Genomic DNA, 21,632 nt, shown 5'->3' with positions numbered 1-21,632 from the left:
AGTTATTCACAAGGGAACCATAAAATTGCCTTGTCCCCAGATTGACAGCTTAATGAACATGTCAGCACAGGGCCGATTTGCATATTGCAGTGTGCTTCAGGTAAGAGGCCCCTTACAAATGAAGCAATAAGAGGCACTTTAGACTGCAGAGTGAGAAAGAGATGGCCAAGATTCTCTGAATAGCCATCCTGCTCATTTTAAAAATTCAATTTTGCAGTTAGATTAGTTCTCACTCTTCAGTTGAATTGCAACGAGGTTTAAAGGGAAAGCATGGAAGCAATTAAAACTAGCATGCCAGCTTCCTGGCCCTGAAAGTCACCCTTACCAGTCAGTGCTAATTTTCACGTGTTAGGACTTAGAGACTCACCTTCCAACACAAACTTGTCAGCTTAGAGGGTCTGCTAATTCTCTGCTTTTCAATAAATCCCAGATGGCAAGAGCCCCTTAATAAGCACATGGGGGACCTGCACAATTATTTTTGGCTGCCCTTTGAAGGGAAAAAGGCATTCAAAAATTCAGACAATGAACCGTTAGAGGATACATCTTAATGTGAAAATTAATGGCGATTCTCCTGGACATCTTCAAACCTAAATTGGATATTAACTGAATAATATTATTGAATGTCCTACCTTGTACTTTCTGCAATGCCTATCAAACTCAATATTATTGAATTTCCTATCTCTGATACCTTTTGCAATGACCATTCATGATAAATGAACATAATAGTTCCAATCTTGTGGAGAACAGAGTCCAGGAGCTTATAGTCTGAAAAGGGAAAGTTCATCATATTCATCATAGAATAATATAATATGATAATGATTCAGTGGAAAACCATTCTATAGGAGGTAGAAGTAAAGTACCATGTGTGTTCTGAACCTCCAGCTTTCAGCATTGAAGAAAAGGAAGAGGGGTGGTTTTATACCTGTGCCTTGAGTAATAAGTAGACTCTAGAGGGAGTAACATGGAAGATATTCAGATGATTGGAACATTACAGAAAACATGGGTCTTGAATGGGAAACTTTGAACAAAGACTTAGAATTTTGCAATGCGTACCTACAATCTTCTCAATAATTCTGTTTTCTATACTTCTCTTTCTAGTGGCAAAGCATCTAAACAAAACCAAGTTGTCTTGGAACAAAGATGGCATTCTCCATGGAGTCAGATATCAGGATGGGAATCTGGTGATCCAATTCCCTGGTTTGTACTTCATCATTTGCCAACTGCAGTTTCTTGTACAATGCCCAAATAATTCTGTCGATCTGAAGTTGGAGCTTCTCATCAACAAGCATATCAAAAAACAGGCCCTGGTGACAGTGTGTGAGTCTGGAATGCAAACGAAACACGTATACCAGAATCTCTCTCAATTCTTGCTGGATTACCTGCAGGTCAACACCACCATATCAGTCAATGTGGATACATTCCAGTACATAGATACAAGCACCTTTCCTCTTGAGAATGTGTTGTCCATCTTCTTATACAGTAATTCAGACTGAACAGTTTCTCTTGGCCTTCAGGAAGAAAGCGCCTCTCTACCATACAGTATTTCATCCCTCCAAACACTTGGGCAAAAAGAAAACTTTAGACCAAGACAAACTACACAGGGTATTAAATAGTATACTTCTCCTTCTGTCTCTTGGAAAGATACAGCTCCAGGGTTAAAAAGAGAGTTTTTAGTGAAGTATCTTTCAGATAGCAGGCAGGGAAGCAATGTAGTGTGGTGGGCAGAGCCCCACACAGAATCAGAAGGGATGAATGGATGTCCCAGCCCAACCTCTAATTCACTGTATGGTCTTGATCTATTTCTTCTGTTTTGAGAGCCTCCAGTTAAAATGGGGCTCCAGTACCAGAGCAGCTAGCAACTCTGCCCTAATGGGAAATGAAGGGGAGCTGGGTGTGAGTGTTTACACTGTGCCCTTCACGGGATACTTCTTTTATCTGCAGATGGCCTAATACTTAGTTGTCCAAGTCGCGATCAAGGACTCTCTCACACAGGAAACTTCCCTATACTGGCAGATACACTTGTGACTGAACCATGCCCAGTTTATGCCTGTCTGACTGTCACTCTGGCACTAGGAGGCTGATCTTGTACTCCATATGACCCCACCCCTAGGAACCCCCAGGGAAAACCAGGCTGGGACAGCCCCCTGTTCCTGAGATGGAAAGCACAAATTTAATACACCACCACAATGGAAAACAAGTTCAAAGACTTTTACTTACAGATCCTGGACAGAAAGGGCATAATGAGTCTGAAGGGCAGTCCTCCTTCTCTAGGTTACATGAGGCAGGAATAAGAAGTCAGACAGAGACAGCAAGACAGTTAACAATGTAGGTAAAGAAATAGGGTGTGGTCACTCTCAATTCACTGGCAAATGCCTGAATGGTCTGTCTGAAGGAAGCAACAGAGAAGTGGGGAATCCAGTCTGCTAGGCAGGAAAGATGCCTCTAAGTTCTTGTCTCTGGCCAGAGGTGTGGTATAGAACCAGAAACCCATATCAAGGGTGACTAAGCCCGGCTTCTGGTATGAGAAATTAAACTTGTATACAAAATGGTTGCCAAGGCAACATAAAATTATAAGAATTCACTATACCTTCCCCTCCCTGGAACTCAGGATCCAAGTCTAGAAAATGAAAGGACTGGGTTTGAATTGCTTCAAAACCTCTTCCATCTCAGAAGACCAGACCCTGGGAACTGAGATTCCAGACACAATTTTGGAAGCTCTCCAACCAAAATAAGGCCCCCCTACCCCAGTATATAATTGAAGACACTAGTAACACCTGACTGCATCTCATCTCAGCAGAGCCAGAATATGGGGACAAGGTTCAGGGTGCCCTGCTGAATGGTGTGAACAGCAGGATCTCAAGGATGTAATGGAAAGAACTACCACACTGACCATCCAGAATCTAAGAGACCATCTGGGTGTTTGGGAAACCATCTGACGAGGCCTGACTCTATTCCAGTTAGATTGACAATAATTGAGCAGCAGGCATTTTTCATTTCTGGTCAGGAAAGCATTGTGCCTTTAGCAAACAATCAGTGTGCAACAGTGATGTGGTCATCTAGCCAGGGAATGGCTGCTCCATCCCCTGCATAATATATTCCTGCTTCAAACACCTCTCAGAAAACCAGTTCCGCGAGGGTTTTTATATCCCCACAAAGTTGTTGAGAGACAATGATGACCCTGGAAGTGGGGAGGAGGACTTCTGAGAAACAGCAACCTCTCTCCTGATTGGGGTAGCCATGAGATTTCTCTAGCTATATCCAACTTGGCATCTGTACATCATCTTTGGAGGAACATCTTATTTGTGGAAGGACCTTGACAAGCCGTTTGAGATGGAATGTAGGCCCTGATGTTATGCTTCAGTAAAAAAAGATGGAAGCTTCCCTGCTATACCAAAACATGGAGCAAAATTTGCATTTTTCTCAAGAAGGAGAGAAAAGGAGTAGGACTCCAGCAAAGTTTGTCAGAAGGAAAGCTAGAAAAGATTTAAAAGAAAAAAAGAAAGAACAAATCAGCAGTGGTGGTATGGATGAAAGGGACTTGAGAGAACAAAAATGGCTAAGGGAAAATTTTAAGTCATCTGCTGAGCAGTGTGCTGTGTCAACCTCCTCCTAGGTCTCCTCTATGAAATATTTAGTAAAGTCTACATTTCTCTTTAACTCTTTCTGTGAGTAGATTCTTTGGGAGAAGCAGGCATTGGAAGAGGTGTTGAATTCAGCAAGCCAAATGGTCTGTGGTAAAAAACAAAACAGACTTTGAGACTCAAGGCTAAAAAAACAGGGAAATGGCTGGCATTTGAGTCACACACTAACTGCATAGGACAAATGAATCTTGCTTAAACCAACTCATGCATTCTTGAAAAGGTATATGCAACCCAACTGTGTGTTAACTAAGCAATTTTTTTGCCATCTCACATTCTAACTCGAGAAAGATTCCATTTTCATTTTTCACCAACTGTTCTCTGAGCAGAGGTACCTGACTTTTGCACTGTGAGTGGTTTCTAATCTCAGTCTCTGTCAAGCAATGCTAAGAAAGCCAACACCTAAAGACACAAGGGGTACATCATTTAAATGAATAATGTAACCAAACAAACAAAAAAAGAGAATAATCATTAATAACTCAACTGATAGATATGTAGGGAGTAGGCAACCCAGGAAGTTTAAAACTAAATTCTGTTACTCTTGAGGGTTAACCAGCCCCTGGGAATGTTATGAGCAAATGATACTCCATGAGTAAAATGATATCTATGCAAGTAAAATAAATAATTTATCTAACTGGGAACTCAGGCTACCTAAAACATATGCCTCTTTGGTAAAAACTCAACTTGAGCTCCTTCCCTTGCTCCTACCCTCTGAACCCCACCTCCCCACCACACACACACACACACACACTCAGTGTACTTGCAGAACTTGTAGAGGAAGATGGTAAGTGAGCTCACAAAAACATAACAAGTCAATGTAGAGTCATCCAAACTGGAGTGGAGTGGTGCTATCTTGGCTCACTGCAGCCTCCCCTTCCTGGGTTCAAGTGATCCTCCTACCTCAGCCTCCTGAGTAGCTGGGACTACAGGCACGCACCACCACACCCAGCTGATTTTTGCGTTTTTAGTAGAGACGGGATTTCACCATGTTGGCCAGGCTGATCTCGAACTCCTGACCTCAAGCAATCTGCCCACCATGGCCTCTCAAAGAGCTAGGATTACAGGCGTGAGCAACCACACCTGGCCTCTAACCCTTTTCTGAATCATATATTGACCATGTACTGAGTCTATAGAGGATAGAGACCACCTGTGTCTCACATTCAAATCACCATCCCAGAGTGACCGGGGCGAGAGCAGGGAAGAGCAGAGGAAACCTCCAAATGTGGGGACTGTCCAAAGTAAGGTTGGAAAGACGTGACCTGAGGAATTGCAGAAAGGCTATAGGAGGCCCTATCAAGGCTGGTGGGAAATAATGGAGATTGGAATATGAGACTGGGCTCAAATGCCAGCTCTCTCACTAACCACACTCGAGGACTTCGCAAGTGTCTGCTCCCTGCTGGGCTTCCAACCAATGGGACTTCCATCAAGCCTGGCAGATCTCTCAGGAGTGTTCTAGAGATGATACAGGCTGACTTCTCCATCCTCTTAATTTAAGGGTTTGTCCCTTCCATCCCAGAATAAGTGGTATTCCTGGAATTGTGGGAGGCTCCCTTGTCTGACAGATTCTGCCAGCTTCCCTCAGCACTTCCTCCTTTTAGTTCTTGTCCACATCAAAACCTCTTAGGGCACTAGGCTATTCTCTGAGCCATCCTTTATGTGACTGGAGATTCTGAGAAGGAATTAGATAGTAGAGTTATTGTAGAGTAACTACTATATATTTAATTGTTTGAATATACCATAGTTTGTCCATTCTTCTATGCAAGAACATTTAATTTGCTTTTAGGTTTTTGCTGTTACACACAAAGCTACAATAAGCACATCTTCTTCTTGCACACCTCCCACCCCTAGTTGCCATTTTTCTATACAGCAAAAATACTCTTGGAAAATTATAAATGGTGTCACAAAGACACTGAGTTAACCATGGCTAGCGAGGGTTTAGACACCTCTGTGATCAGAGCTCATGACCTGGAGCTTAGTCTCTGGAATCTGAATGGCTCCTTCCATACTTTCTAAGTACTTCTCTGCTCTGTACATTCATTCAACACACATATCCCAAGTGCCAGTGAGTGCCAGGTCAGTTTACAATCCAACATGGTATGTGCTACAGCTCTGCCAAGCCACTGCGAAATCAGCCCTCATTAGCATAGGTTTGAAACATGCCTTTCAATGCACTCTGGGGCTTCCCTGGATCTAGCTCTCTTCCTGGAGAGTAAACAAACACCAGAAAGCATGAAGGACAAGCACAGCTCCAGAAGATTTCTCCCCCAAGATCAAATGTCTGTATTCCTCATGGGCTCTTCTCACAATTCTCCCCTGAAACTCTGCGATGGAAGATTGTCACTCAATGTATAGTATAATGACTTTCCAGGTTTTTTTTCTACCATGACCCAGAAGAAGAAAGGTCATGTTGCCAACGAGGACTAAGAAAAAAAAAAAAAAATAATAACTTACTGTGAAGACCTGAATTGATTTTATGATGCTCTCTTAAGTCACAACCCACATTTCCAAAATACTATTCTAGTGTGCCTTCTCCTGCTCCACATGTTGGAATGCTAAAAATATACTTTCCTTATTCTTTTGCAGCTCAGGCTCTAGTATTATTTAGTCTGAAATGGACAGAATTTTGGAATGTTTGTCCATCCAGCTAGCAAGGACAGCTGTGGAGGTGTTTGGTTTTTCTGCAGCTTCGTTTGCAGAGGTTTTCATGTTCAAATACGAGCTTAGTAGTTGGGGTGAGCCTAGGTGGTGGGGGAGAAGCATCCGTTCTGCTGATGTAGTCTGTTGCAGATGTGCACTGGTTCTGGAGCCCGGCAGCAGTAGCGGCTTCCTGATTGTAGTGGTTTCCTGTTCGCGGCAGCAGTTTTGTGGTTCTAGAGGGGCAGGCTTCCTGATTGCAAGATTATTGAAGAGACAGCAGCTACTATAGCAGCCCAGTTCCTAGGAGTCGCATTATAGGTTTCTCCTGAAAGCTCAATCTCGATTCTGTTTCCTCAGACCTCCTGACAATTCTACAAGCCATTTAACACCCTGTGATAAACCCCTTCCTGCCAAACAAGCTAACGCGAAGTCTGTTCTCTGCAACTGATTCCTCATGAATATAATAACAACATGTACAAACTGACCTCACCATTATGTACAAACCAACCCCACCATACTCATCCTGAACTTAACACTATTCCTACATTCCAAATCTCAAGGACTATCTCAGTCTCTGAATATCCTTCTTCTCACTTCCTACTCAATTAACACCCAACTAATTCCTCCAGTTTCCTAGTTCCAGCCACCACTCTCAATACCTCCTAACTCACAGCACTGCCTCCAGTCTTACTCCTTATAAATCCCATCTCCAGACAGCAATAGCATCTCCCGATTGTTCTTGGAATTGATAGTGATAATAACCATTTATCAAGCTCTTACATGTTATGACTTTTCCTGCACTCACTTATTTAATCTTCAAAGCAATCCAACGAAATAGGCATCATTGAGCCAGGCACGGTGGCTCAGGCCTGTAATCCCAGCACTTTGGGAGGTCGAGGCGGGCGGATCATGAGATCAGGAGTTCGAGACCAGTCTGGCCAACATAGTGAAACCTTGTCTCTACTAAAAATACAAAAAATTAGCTGGGCATGGTGGTGTGCGCCTGTAATCACAGCTACTTGGGAGGCTGAGGCAGGAGAATTGTGTGAACCCAGGAGGCAGAGGTTGCAGTGAGCTGAGATCATGTCACTGCACTCCAGCCTGGGCAACAGAACAAGACTCTTCCTCAAAAAAAAAAAAAATAGGCATCATTATCCCCATTCTTTATATAAGGACATTGAGAGTCTGCGATGTTGAGGAGCATGGCCAATGTCACAGTCAATGGACGGTAGAGTTGGGATTTAAGACCAAGTTTGCCTAACTCCACATTCCACGCTCCAGTCACTATGAACATAGCCTTCCTAAACTCTAAGCTCTTTCCACCAGGTCTCTCCCTATCTATCTCCTGAATGTCTCTCTAGTTTTGTGCTCAGCCCCACCTCCTTGTGCTCTATGATCAAATCACATTGCACTCCTTCCAGTTCCTCCAATCTTCCATGCTCTGCCTAGCCACCAGAAGCTTGCAGATAATTTTCCTTCTGCCTAGGATACTCCTGTCACACTCTTTTGCCTGATTAACTCCTATCATTGTTCTGATTTCCATTTCAATGTCACCTCCTCAGAGAAGTCTTCCTGACTCTGCTGGCTTCACTTAATGCCTTGCTGTCACCTTCCATGCTTCCCCATCGTTAATTGCATGACACTTTACCCTTCACCCCTGGTTCTCTCTATCATTCCTCTCCAACATTCAAATTCCCAGAAGGCAGGAACCCTACCAATCTTATTTAGCACTGGGTAATCACAGCCCAGCCCAATTCCTAGGACATAGTAGATGGCCATTCAATACATATTTCTTAAATGAATAATCAAAGAAAACCACTTTAAACATAAGTCCGTTTTAAGGAAAAGATATCAAGCCATACCAAAACAAAAGAAAAAAAAAAACAGTTCTTTTCAAAATATGGAAATGTTCATTGAAAGCCTCTATTTTTCTTAGAAATAATTTTCAGGCCGGGGACAGTGGCTTATGCCTGTAATGCCAGCACTTTGGGAGGGCAAGGTGGGTGGATCACTTGAGGTCAGGGGTTCGAGACCAGCCTGACCAACATGGAGAAACCCCGTCTCTACTAAAAATCAAAATTAGCCAGGCGTGGTGGCACATGCCTGTAATCCCAGCTACTCGGGAGGCTGAGGCAGGAGAATCGCTTGAACCCAGGAGAAGGAGGTTGCAGTGAGCCGAGATTGCACCACTGCAACTCCAGCCTGGGCAACAAGAGTGAAACTCAATCTCAAAAAAAAAGAAAGAAAAAAAGAATTTTCAGGGCTCAGGAGATAAGAATGCCTATTAGAGAAAGGTGAAATTTTTAGAAAGCAGAATCTACCTGTGCCATCTGAGAACATGGAAGGAAAAAAAAATAAATCTTTGCTTACTTTATTGAACCCCTTTTCTGAGCAAGGTGTGGTATATTTGCTGTAGAATCCATCACCCTTCCTATCTCTGAGATATCTATATGCTATTCTAGTCATTTTGTGATTAGAAATAGTGAGATTAACCTTAGAAAGTTTTTTAAGTTTTATTTTATTTTTGATTGACACAAAAATAGTGTACATATTTAGGTAGCACAGTGTGATATTTCAATACATGTATACATTGTGCAATAGTGAACATATCCCTTACTTTAAACAGTTATTTCTTTGAGGTGAGAACATTCAAAATCCTCTCTTCTAGATATTTTGAAATACACTAGAAAGTTTAAATCAAACCTTGGTATACCTTAGAATCCTGAAATCCCAGGCCACTTCCTAGAGCAATTAAATTAGAATCTCTGGATTTAGAACCCAGGCATCAGGATTATTTTAAGCTCCCAAATTTAAGCCAAATATTAAGAGTCAGTGGTTTAAATCTTTGCTGTTATGTCCTGGTGCCTGGTATCACCAGAGAGCTTGTTAAAAATGCAGGCATCTCATACATACCTAAAAACTGGAACAGAATCTGCATTTTAATATGATCCAAGAGATTCAGGTGCACCTTACAATCTGAAGAACACTAGTTGGTTGACTTTTTCTGGTAAGTGGAGAAGATTGCTGGTAATCCGTTATGTTTCTCTGTTTCCCCCAAGTGGACTTTCATGAATTGGCTTGGTCTTCCTTGTCTGCTGCTTATGCAAATGTGAGGGTCTAAACACTACAAAACCATCAAGTCAACGTGATGGTATTCATTTGTAATGATCACCACTGAATTTTTAACAACTGCTTTTGATCCAACTGTCTCCCTTGGGAATATTGGGCAACACTAGGAATAATCTGGACAACATGTTGAAAGCTTTGGATGCAGTTTAGAAACTTCTATGGGGGCTGTACTTTCCCTATAGCCAAGGAAAGAGAAAAAAACAAGTCTGAGGGTGGCAGATGGGAAAGAATAGTGGCCTTGGCAACTGGAAGCCAGTTTCAATCTGAGCTGAAGCAATTACTAACTCTATGACCTTGGCAAGTCACATGGACTTTGTAAACTTAAATTTTCTCAGCTGTACAATGGGAAGCTGTTGGGAGAACAAACACATAGAATAAGCTTGGAAAGTGTACAACTCTTGGGGTATTTTATCATATTCAGTGTCTGTGAAGGAGTTAGACCTTGGGGAGAGGAGTAGGAAAAAATGAATCAATGCAAGTTTGAGAAAAGTGAAAGTTCCTCAAATCCACTGAAGCCTATTCCCATCTGCATTCAGAAAAGCCAGCCATTGGATCAACAAAGGTCTCTGTCAGGCCAACTCTCAAAGGATGGTTTCATCCTGCAGGGAAAACTGGACTAGATAACCAACTGACTGTTTGCGAGATGCAGTATCAAGGTCCTCTCCCTGTGCCTCTCTAGAAGCAGCACTGATTGCACTGCAAATGAACACTTTTCTCACTTAGAAATGAGCACTTAGAAGACAAGAAGAATCCATCTCCAAATCCCAGCACCCAAATCAGTGTCCTACACAAAGTCAGCACTCAGGAAATGTTTAGATTTCACTTGCAACAGGAAGAGGGAATTACCAGGCAGGGATATCAGCTAAACTAGTCAGGAACAAGCTGATTTGAAGGCTGATCCTCCTTCACAACCAGGAGGCTCCAAACAAAAACCAGCTGAAGTATTTCATCATTTCCTTTCCATTGCTAGGGACGCAGATGACCTAACCTCCTTGACATTCTGACTATGCCTTCCGTTCTCACAATGAGTCTCATTTTACCAGCTGGCCTGATGCAGTCAGCGCATGGCACAGTACTCAAGGGAAGAAAGGTCACAATCCATCACAGGATCAATACAATGGGATGAGTAAACAGCAAGAAAACACTGAAGGAGGCTTCATTTCTACCACCAACATTACATTCATACACTCACACAGTCCTCAATTGCATCTGGTCTTTTCATCCTCCTCATTCATTACTTTGATGTGTTTACTTAAACCGCTTTATGTTACGTAAATAGATATAATTACTATCACTTACTGAACGCTTGCTTGCCAGGTTTCAGGCACCACATGGAAGCCTTCAAATACTGTAGTCTACTGCATCTCACCCTTATGAGATAGAGATGACCATTCCCATGTTGCAGATGAGGAAACAGAGGCTCGAAGAAATGCTTAAGTATGTCTAAGTTTCAGCAGCTCATGAGCTGAAGAGCTAAGATGTAACCACTGCAGTTTGGCTCCAGAGCTATATTTCTAACCACACTACACTGCACTACCCTGAGGCTACTTGACCTGGTGCCTGCTGATTCCTTTGTCCACAAGGTCCTTGCCCTTCATTCACATCTTGTTAATTTGACCTCATTCATAAAATTTCAACTCAGACATTATTGCTCAAGAACCATTCCGCTAAATTAGACATGCAACCTGGACCTTGATATTCTCACTTCTGTCTAAAAATTTACTACACTCACTATGACAGCATGATTGTACATTTGCCTCCCTGCTAAACTGTGGGCTTCTGAGTAACAACAACGTCAAAATGTATCACATCTCTCCTGCCGATATCTACAAAGTAAAGTTATTCTTTCTTCCAGATTACTGTGGCATGATCCTCCACCATTCACACTCTACCCTGGACTCTGGGAAGGGACACTGCTGCCTTGAAACTCTACAACCCTGAACCTTGATGCTGGTTGCTGCAGACAAGAACTGCTTCTACCCTGGGTCACTGTCACTGCTAAGTGGAAAGTCATGAACTTGATGGTACCAGTCACTCTGGGCCTAAACCGACATAGCCAGGAAACGGTTCACCCCCCACAAACAGAATCATCTAGACCTGTCCATGATTTGGAATCGTGGCCCAATACTTCCTGGCCCCAGAGAGAGAAAAAAGTCTGACCACCCCCTACTCAAAGTGCCAACTCATTTCCTTCCCAGAATTAATCACTTCCCAAAATGTATGACTGTGTGAACATCAATTCCCTTCAGGGGAAAACCCCACTCCCACCTCTCAGGCTGTCATCTTACCCTATGACCCCAACCTGACAATCATGCAACAGCCCATTATTGGTACCTTTTCCAATGTTTAGGTGACTCATTCTTATCTACAATCACTTTGTTGTTCTAGGAAAGTTTTTGACACAGCAGGCATTTGATATATATTTCTTGATTAAATGAAAGATTAAATGAATACCATCTTAGATGTCTGCATAGTGCTTTAAAGTTTACACCACTATTCTTTCAAATAGTACAAGAGAGAACTAAGCTGTGTACTCAACTGGGAAGAAGCAGAACTGAGAGTGGGAGCACCTGGTATTCTGATTTCTTGTCTAGAACTATACTATATTCTGAGATCACTAAACTACAACCTCAGGCGACTCTGCCTACTTTTGTAAATAAAGTTTTATTGGAACACAGCCACATTCATTCATTTATGTACAGTCTATGGCTGGTTTTATGCTGTGATGGCAGAGTTGAGTAGCTGCCCCAGAGTCCAGGAGCTGTTTACAGAAAATGTCTGATGGACCTGCTATATATTGCTGGTGACTCCAGGTATGTTTAGATATACACACTTACAACACACACACACACATACATCATAAATTTTCCCACAAAGAGAACCATATGATCACTGTCTATCTGACCTTTTCAATATTGTCAGCTGTGAGAGGGGAGTACCAACTTTGTTGGAATCATGTATAGAACATGCCTCTGAGTGCTAAGGGATTCCATGGGCTAATGCATGATTTTTGACCATGGACTTGATAATATCTATCCAACAATATGAAGAAGTAGTAAACTTAAAAAAGAAAAGGCCTCAGAGGCAAATCCACCAAAAGCAGTGAGAAAGGAATAGCTTCCAAAAAGATCATGTTTTAAAATAAGGAGGTTAGAGATGTGAGGATTTTTTTCTTTACAACCAGTAAACCAGAGACATGTGAGGATTTGAATGTCTTCATAATAATGAAAATAATTTTAATCAAAATGTCTCTAAAATATAGACTTAGAATGTACTGTTCCAAGAAAATTATTTGTTCTTAGATGTTTTCCTTCAATCAACCACTCAAGGGAGTTTAGAAGAGACCAGATGGTGCCTTAAAAGGATATGAGGCCGGGCACAGTGGCTCACATCTGTAATCCCAGCACTTTAGGAGGCCGAGGCAGGTGGATCACTTGAGGTCAGGAGTTTGAGACTAGCCTGACCAACATGGTGAAACCTCATCTCTACTAAAAAAAAAAAAATACAAAATTAGCAAAGCATGGTGGCACACGCCTGTAATCCCAGCTACTTGGGAGGCTGAGGCAGGAGAATCACTTGAACCCAGGAGGCAGAGGATGCAGTGAAGTGAGGCGAGATTGCGCCATTGCACTCCAGCCCAGACAACAACAGCGAAACTCCATCTAAAATAAAAAATAAAAATAAAAAAAGAAGGATATGAAAAAAGGGAACTTAAGTGGATTCTAATAAATCACAAAACCTCATATATAGCTATTCTCTAGACTGAATTACCCAGACTTCTGAAAATATACTATCAGACATAATTTTAATATTCACAGGTATCCTATGAGTTTGCTCTCTGCTCAAACACAGGGCCAAACCACAACACTGTGGGTGGATAAGTATGGGATATGCCTGATAAAGGCAAGGTATCATTATTATTCATCTAACATGGTAGATACTTATGAAATATTTACTTTTTAACAGTAGATTTCATTTATATATTTATTTTCTCTTTTTAAAATTTTTAGTTGTTGTGGGTACATAGTAGGTGTATGTATTTATGAAGTACATGAGAAGTTTTGATACAGGCATGCAATGTGAAATAAGCTTATCATAGGAAATGGGGTATCCATCCCCTCAAGCATATATCCTTTGAGTTACAAACAATTCAATTATACTGTTTATTTTTAAATGTACAGGTAAGTTATTACTGACTAAAGTCACCTTGTTGTACTATCAAATAGTAGTTCTTATTCATTCTTTCTATTTTTTCTTTTTTTTACTCATTAACTATTCCCCACCTACCTTTCAGCCCCTCACTACTCTTCCCAGCAGCTGGTAACCATCCTTCTACTCTCTATGTCTGTGAATTCAATTGTCTTGACTTTTAGACCCCACAAATAAGTGATAACATGTGATGTGTGTCTTTCTGTGCCTGTCTTATTTCATTTAACATAATGATCTTCAGTTCCATCCATGTTGTTACAAATGACAGAATCTCGTTCTTTTTTATTGCTGAATAGTACTCCATTGTGTATATATACCACATTTTCTTTATCTATTCATCTGTTGATGGACACTTAGGTTGCTTTCAAATCTTAGCTATTGTAAACAGTGCTGTGTCTATGATTTCTTTCTGCAGTGTTTTGTAGTTTTCCGTGTAGAGGTCTTTCACTTCCTTGGTGACGTATATTCCTAAGTTGTTGTTTTTTTGTTTGTTTGTTTGTTTGTTTGCAGCTATTATAAAAGGGATTGATTTCTTGATTTGATTCTCAGTTTTGTCATTGTTGGTGTATAGCAGGACTACTGATTTGTGTACATTAATTAATTTTGTATCCTGAAACTTTGCTGAATTCATTTACCAATTCTAGGAGCTTTTTGGATGAGTCTTTATGGTTTTCTAGGTACACAACCATGTCATCAGCAAATAGCAATAGTTTGACTTCCTCTGTTAATATCTCTTTTAATAAACTTTCTACCCGTATCTCTTTCTCTAACTCCTCTTTAAGGCCAATAACTCTTAGATTTGCTCTTTTGAGGCTACTTTCTAGATCTTGTAGGCATGTGTCATTGTTTTTTATTCTTTTTTCTTTTGTCTCATCTGTGTATTATATTTTCCAATAGCCTATCTTCAAGCTTGCTAATTCTTTCTTCTTCTTGATAAGATCTGCTATTAAGGGACTCTGATGCATTCTTCAGTATGCCAATTGCATTTTTTCAGCTCCAGAATTTCTACTTGATTCTTTTTAATTATTTTAATCTTTTTGTTAAATTTATCTGATAGAATTCTGAATTCCTTCTTTGCATTATTTTGAATCTCTTTGAGTTTCCTCTACACAGCTATTTTGAATTCTCTGTCTGAAAGGTTACATATCTCTGTTTCTCCAGGATTGGTCCCTGGTGACTTATTAGTTCATTTGGTGAGGTCATATTTTCCTGGATGGTGTTGATACTAGCAGATATTCTGTAGTGTCTGGGCACTAAAGAATTAGGTATTTATTGTAGTCTTCACTGTCTGTGCTTATTTGTACATATCTTCTTGGGAAGGTTTTTCAGATATTTGAAAGGACTTGGGTGTTATAATCTAAGCCGTATCTGCTTTAGGGGGCACCCCAAGCCCAGTAACACTGTGGTTCTTCCATACTCCTAAAGGTACTGCCTTGATGGTCTTGGACAAGATCCAGGAGAATTCTGTAGATTACCAGGCAGAGACTCTTGTTCTCTTCCTTTACTTTTTCCCAAATAAACATGGTCTCTCTGTTCTGAGCCACCTAAAGCTGGGGCTGGAGTGACACAAGCACCCCTGAGGCCACCACCACTATGACTGCGCTGGGTCAGACCTGAAGCCAGCACAGCACTGGGTCTTGCCCAAGGCCTGCTGAAACCACTCCCTGGTTACTGCTTATGTTTGTTCAAGAACTTGAAGCTCTACAAGCAGCTGGTGGCAAAGCCAGCCAGGCCTGCATCCTTCCCTTCAGGGTGGTGAGGTCCCCCAAGCCCCAGATGAGTGCAGAGGTGCCGTCCAGGAATCAGAGTCAAAAACCACAGATGTCTGTCTGGTGTTCTATTGTACTGTAGCTGAGCTGACACTCAAACCACAAGACACAGTACTTTCCATGCTTCCCTCTCCTTTCCAAAGATAGGGGAGCCCCACCCAGTAGCCACCACCACCCCAGGCCACGAGGAGTACTGCCAGACTACTGCCAAAGTTTTCTTAAGTCAGCTTGTGGTGCATGCTGCCTGGCCTGGGACTCACTCATCAGGGCAGTGGGCTCTCCTCTGACCCAGGGCAGGTCCATAAACACCATCCAAGAATCAAGTCCTGGAATCGGGGACCCCAGGATCCCACTTGGTGCTCTACCCAACTGCTAGTATCTAAGGTGCAAGACAAGTCCCCTTTACTTTTCCCTCTGCTTTTCTCAAGCAGAAGGAGTTTTGCCCCATATCCACCTCAGCTGGTAATGTGCTGAGTCTCACCTGAACCCAGCAAGTCCCAGAGGCTTACCCTAGGCCCTCAAAGTAGTACCTGGACATCACCGATGTTTATTCAGGACTCAAGAGCTCTTCAGTTAGCAGATGATGAATTCTGCCAGGACTGTGTCCTTTCCTTCAAGGCACTGGGTTCCCTTCTGGCCCAGGGTATGCCTATAAATGTCATCTGAGAGCTAGGGCCCGGGACAAGGACCTCACAACTCTGTCTGGTGCCCTCTCCTGCTGTGGCTAAGCTGCTATCCAATATGCAAGACAAAGTCCTTCTTATTCTTTCCTCTCCTCTCCTCAAGCAGAAGGAAGGGGTCTCTTCTGGAGCCAGGAGGTGTGCAGCCTGGGTCTAGGGGAAGGGTGATGCCAGCACTCCCTTGGCTGATGCAGCTGGTGTCTCTATGTCACATGCCACCCAGTCCGCTGTCTCTGGCCCCAGTTTGGCACTAGGACTCACCTAAGAGTTGCAGGCCTTATGGCCTAGACTGCCTTTCAAGTTTACTTGGAGACACAGAGCACTGTAGCCCTCAGTGGTGAGGTTTGCAGGAACTCCAGTTTGGACTGCTAAGATTCGTGATTCCACTCTGGCTAGGGCTGGTTTAAATGCTTCCTCGGTGGGTGGGCATCAGCTGATTTTTGTCCAGTTTTCCTTTCTGCTCTAACAAGACAGCACTGAGTTCAATTGCCTCACAATTGCTGTGCTCTCCCTCCCCCAGCACCCAGAGAAACTCTCCACACCACGGCTGCTGCAGGGTGGGGGAGGGGTGACATCAGCAATTCAGAGCTGTTTTTTCTATCTCCTGAGTGCCTCTTTCAGCAATTTGAAGTTAGAACCAGGTACTGTGAGTGCTCACCTGATTTTTGGTTCTAACAAAGGTATTTTTTGGTGTGTAGATAGTTGTTAAATTGGCGTCCCTGTGGGGAGGACAATCATTGGAGCCTCCTATTCTGCCATCTTGCTCCACATCCCTTGATTTGAATAGAAGCTGCAATTACCTTTAAAAAAATTTCTATCCGAAATTTTGTCCTCTTGGTTCAAGCTCTTTTCCAAGCAAAAATATTGTACCCAAATACTCCTTAAATGAGCTACATAGGCATATATTTTTAAATAATTAACTCAAGCCCTCTTTTAAATAAAGGATTAATAAGAATAGTGTTCTATTTGAGTAAACATGTAGTATAGGGAAAAATTGTGAGACTTTGAAATTTAGTGAGAGTACTGACTAGCTCATTAATTTTGGTTATTTTATGCTTTCATTGGCTCTGGGATTTGTTTTACAGCCCTGAAAGTTGCAGAAAATAGATAGTAATGCAAATAATTCTTGTCCGTAAATATGCAAGTTGTGTCCCATGTGATGCAACTGATTACCACTCTGTAAATATTGACCAGTTTTGCAAGTTTCTGTCTATTTGTAACCCCTATTCCATCCAGCAGCACCTATTACTATCTATAGAGAACCTTCTTTTGGTCCACACTCTGTTGTGCAGTTACTAACTCAACAATGTCATATACGCACACATATACAAGCACATACACACCAGTGATTACAAAGTCAATTTATAGTATAATAGTGGTTTGACTATTTTTAAATAGTATTTTTATTAAGTAAATACAATTGTTTTGGTATTTTTAATCTGAATATTGAAATGCAGGAGAAAACTAAATGCTGCATTTAAAATGAGGCATCATTGTTTCCATTTCATTGACGTAGGGAAACAGAATCAGAAATGAAAATCACCCACCTGATAAATAAATGCAGTAGCCAGGACACTAACCCAGATTTTCAGAGACCAAATTAGTTACATTCTATTTTTTTGAGGGAAGCTTTCTTTATCTCTTTCTCCAAATACTCAAAGAAGTAAAATCTCTGTATGATAAAGATAGATCTATTATATCTAGAATATCAACACTTCAAAAAGCATCAGACTAATAGTATTTCAGAAACACAGGTAAAAAAAACACTGAAATTTCAATATTATTGTTTTGCTGTGGTATTTCAGATAGCAAATTCAACTAGCACAAAGGAAATGCAAGAAAAGCACAAGACCCAGATGTGTTTTTAATGAAGCTTAAAAAATAAGTTGCAAAATAAGTCACATTTTTATCACAAAACATCCTGATAAAAGTATAAAATAACATATTTAAAAGCCCAATAAATGCAATAATATAAGCTAATAAGAATAGTGAACATGTGATAGGAGTTTACTGAGAGCCAGGCACTCACTGGTCTAAGTGCTTTTACATTCAAATAACTCTTTCAATATTCACAGGTATTCTATGAGATTGATCCTATGATTATTCCCAATGCAAAGATAAGATAAAGAGGACCTGAGGGACTAATTTAATTCAAGGAATGTTATGGGAATGTAGAAGTGGTAGAACTCCTGTGGTAAGTCCAGGGAGCAATCCTGTGGGGTTTGGCTTTGGAGGGCTTCACCCTTGGCCAGCCAGGGAAGAAAGATCTACAGGAGAAATTAGCTGTGCCGATCTGATGGTGCTGAGAAAAAAGTCTAGGACTTCAAAGAGGGAAGGGTACTGTGTAGCTTTCTGTCAGGGATGAAGCTTGGCTAAGGTACAGCAGGAAGAACATGGAGAAGGAAAGGGTAATGGAAAGAGAGCTGGATAAGCAGAAGAGGAAGGAGGCTTAAATGGCCCATGAAGATCATACTTTAAAAATATATTTCTTTGACAGATGTTAAAACTTCTTTGTGACTAGTTTATTTAAAATTTGTTTTATTTTAAAATACTGAATATAATGAAACTAATAAAGGTAAAAGTATCTCTTAATACCGCTATTAAAGTTTCAGAAGTGGTGAGAGCTACCTCTTTCTGCATTCAGGCTCTTGAACAAACTGAAGAGTAAAACAAATATTAAGGCAGATAGGAAATTAAAATATCAACTTCATGACTATGAAAGGTTAAGTTGGAGGATGCAGCTTAGCTTCAGAGCCAGAAAGACCAGCTCTGCTAGCTGAATCTCAGATCTAGGTAGGCTTGCCTGTCATAGCATCACTGAATCCTGGGCAAGTACAGGGGATTCCTAAGAGAAAGATAAAGAGAGCAGTTGAAAGGAACATGCCTGCTCTTTTCCTCCCAGATTTATGAAGCAGATAAGTTATTCCACCATCCCTGTGACAAAGTGAACAAAAGCAAAGAAAGACATGGAGTTAAACTAACTGAGCTTCCTTCATGTGAAAGAAACTGCTAGAAAACAGAAGAAGTGTTTCTCGTCAACAGTCATCCCTCTTTAAATAGTTTATACTAAGAAACAAAAGAACCATATATGTTAAAAACCTACACTAAAATCATACTCAGTGGTGAAATATAGAAGGTTTTCCCTCTGGTTAGGAACAAGATAAAAATGTCCGTTAGCATCAATCCTATTCAACATTGAACTGGAGGTCCTAGCCAGAGAAATAAAGAAAAAGAAATAAATTATATAAAGATAAATGAAGTGACACTTGTATATTAACAGATGGTACAAATATTATAGTTAAAAAATTATAATACAAAAGATTTATAAACAAATGAATTTAGCAAAGTTGCTAGATATGAAGTAAATATACAAAAATCAATTCCGTTTCTTTTTTCACTTTTATTTTAGTTTCAGAGGTACATGTGCAGGTTTTTTATGCAGGTAAATTGCATGTCATGAGGGTTTGGTGCAAAGATCGTTTTATCACCCAGGTACTAGGCAAAGGTAGTTTTTAGATCCTCACTCTCCTCCCACCCTCCACCTTCAAGTAGGCCCCAGTGCCCATTGTTCCCTTTTTTTGTGTCAATGTGGACTCAATGTTTAGCTCCTACTTATAAGTAAAAATTTGTGGTATTTCGTTTTCTGTTCCTGTGTTATTTGCTTAATTCTATTTCTTATACTATCAACAAACAACTAGAAAATAAAATTTAGAAAAATAAACCATTTACAATAGCACTCAAAAATATCACATACCTAGGAATATATCTGATGAAAAATGTAAAACCCTCTACACTGAAAATTATACAATATTGCTGAGAGAAAGTAGAGACCTAGTGGAGAGAGATGGCACACACATGAGTTGGAAGATTAAATATAAAATAATGTAAATCCTCCCCAAATTGATCCATGGAATCAATGTTATCACAGTTAAAATCACTACAGGTTTTTTTGTATGGAAAATGACAAAATGTTTGTAAAATCTATTTGGAAATACAAAGAACCTAGGATAGCCAAAATAGGTTTGAAGAAAATGAGCAAATTGCAAGTCTTACTGTTATAGTAGGTAGCTCATCAGGCATAAGCAGGGTAGAAGAGGGCTCTCTCCGACTTCACACTCCCCCCCCACCTCCTGTCACACACATCAGGAATGTCAGGTGACAATCAGGTAATGGTCAGTAATGGTCAGGCCGTTGTTAACTGTCTCTCTAAAATAATAATTGGTCACAGCCAGTGCCAGGGAAAGGCCATCTCCTGCTACATAGAAAACACCTGAAACTAGTGATCAGCAGCTTCCTGGAGTTGGGAAAGTGGACTCAAGCATGTGCATGCAGACAGCCCAACCCAAGGGAAGAATCAAAGGAGAAGTGACGCAAGACCCCGGAAGTATGCCAACATATAAAGCCAAAGTTAAACATAAAACCAAAGTATGCCAAAGTAAAACAACGTCAAAAAGTCAAACCGCACACTTGTCTTTCAAGTCGCCCGCTTGGTCCTCTTCCAAGTGTACTGTCTTTCCTTCCTTTCATTCCTGCTCTAAAGTTTCTTAATAAACTTTTACTCTTGCTCTAAAACTTTCCTCAGTCTCTCCTGCCTTGTGCTCCTCTGTTGAATTCTTTCTTCTGAGGAGGCAAGAATTGAGGATTCTATAGACCTACATGGGTTCACTGCCAGTAACATTACTATCAGATGTCAACTTAACTATATAGCAAAGGTAATCAAAATACTGTGGGTGTTAGCATAAGAATAGAAAATATAGTCAATGGAATAAATCAACACAGGTATTATCATCTGAATTGTGACAAAAGTCTCAGTGTAGAAACAATGCCCTTTTTAATAAATGCTGTTGGAATAATTATATCTGTAAAACAAATCAACTTTGACTCCCCCACCTTACACCATACATAAAAATTAATTTGAGATAGATTACAGATATAAATGTAAACAGCATGACAATAAAGCTTCTGAGATAAAGTATAGGAGAGTACTTTCATAATATTGAAATAGATAAAATATTTTATACAGAATATGAAAGACACAAACCATAAAAGTAATGAAATGCTATTCACTACAATTAAGACCTTCTGCTCATCAAAGGACACCATTATGAAAGTGAGTAGAAAAGCCACAGATTGGAAAAAACTTTGCTCTGTGACAAAGGAGTCATATTCACAATATTATGTATAAAAATTCCTATAAATCAATTAAAAAGACAAATCAACCTAATTTTAAAATGAGCAAAACAATTGAATAGGACTTCAAAAAACACACTATCCATATGTCCAGTAGCTAATGATTCCCTGATGGTATCATTAGTCATCAGGGAAATGCAAATTAAAGCCATATAACCACCAAATTAAAACTACTACACACCCACCAAGTTACTAAAATTGAGATGACTGACAATATCAAGTGTTGGTGAGGAAGTGAAGCAACTGGAAACCTCATATATTGCTGGAGGAAGTGAAAGTGTTACAATCATTTTGGAAACCTGTTTGGCAATACCTACTAAAGCTAAACATATGCTTGCCTTATGATCCAACCATGCTACTCCGAGGCATATTTGTAGAAG

The 21,632-nt window shown here is 40.6% G+C and overlaps 1 protein-coding gene across 2 annotated transcripts in view, besides 1 other annotated feature; it reads left to right on the top strand.

Moving 5' to 3' along the window:
* TNFSF8 (TNF superfamily member 8) overlaps positions 1–12,081 on the top strand; it is a 37,253-nt gene extending 25,172 nt beyond the window's left edge. Inside the window, exons 4-5 of one of the 2 annotated variants that reach the window (NM_001252290.1) lie at positions 1,099–1,197; positions 11,260–12,081. In NM_001252290.1, the coding sequence (NP_001239219.1) occupies positions 1,099–1,197; positions 11,260–11,345 (185 nt within the window). In that variant the 3' untranslated portion in view covers positions 11,346–12,081. Of the gene's footprint in view, positions 1–1,098; positions 4,280–11,259 lie in introns of those variants that run through there. The other variant, NM_001244.4, reaches the window with a different exon arrangement.
* Positions 10,387–11,586: an enhancer, noted in NCBI's record as "P300/CBP strongly-dependent group 1 enhancer chr9:117656118-117657317 (GRCh37/hg19 assembly coordinates)". NCBI's record gives its function as "activates an origin of replication core promoter dependent on BRD2, BRD4, P300/CBP, MED14 and CDK7 cofactors, with strong dependence on P300/CBP, by STARR-seq in HCT116 cells {active_cell/tissue: HCT116}" and the evidence as "EXISTENCE:reporter gene assay evidence [ECO:0000049][PMID:35650434]".
* Positions 12,082–21,632: the final 9,551 nt, after the last annotated feature.

Source organism: Homo sapiens, chromosome 9, assembly GCF_000001405.40.
Source record: "Homo sapiens chromosome 9, GRCh38.p14 Primary Assembly".
Lineage (NCBI taxonomy): Eukaryota > Metazoa > Chordata > Mammalia > Primates > Hominidae > Homo > Homo sapiens.
Note: the sequence above shows the minus strand (reverse complement) of the source record. Positions and strands in the feature narration are given on the sequence as shown.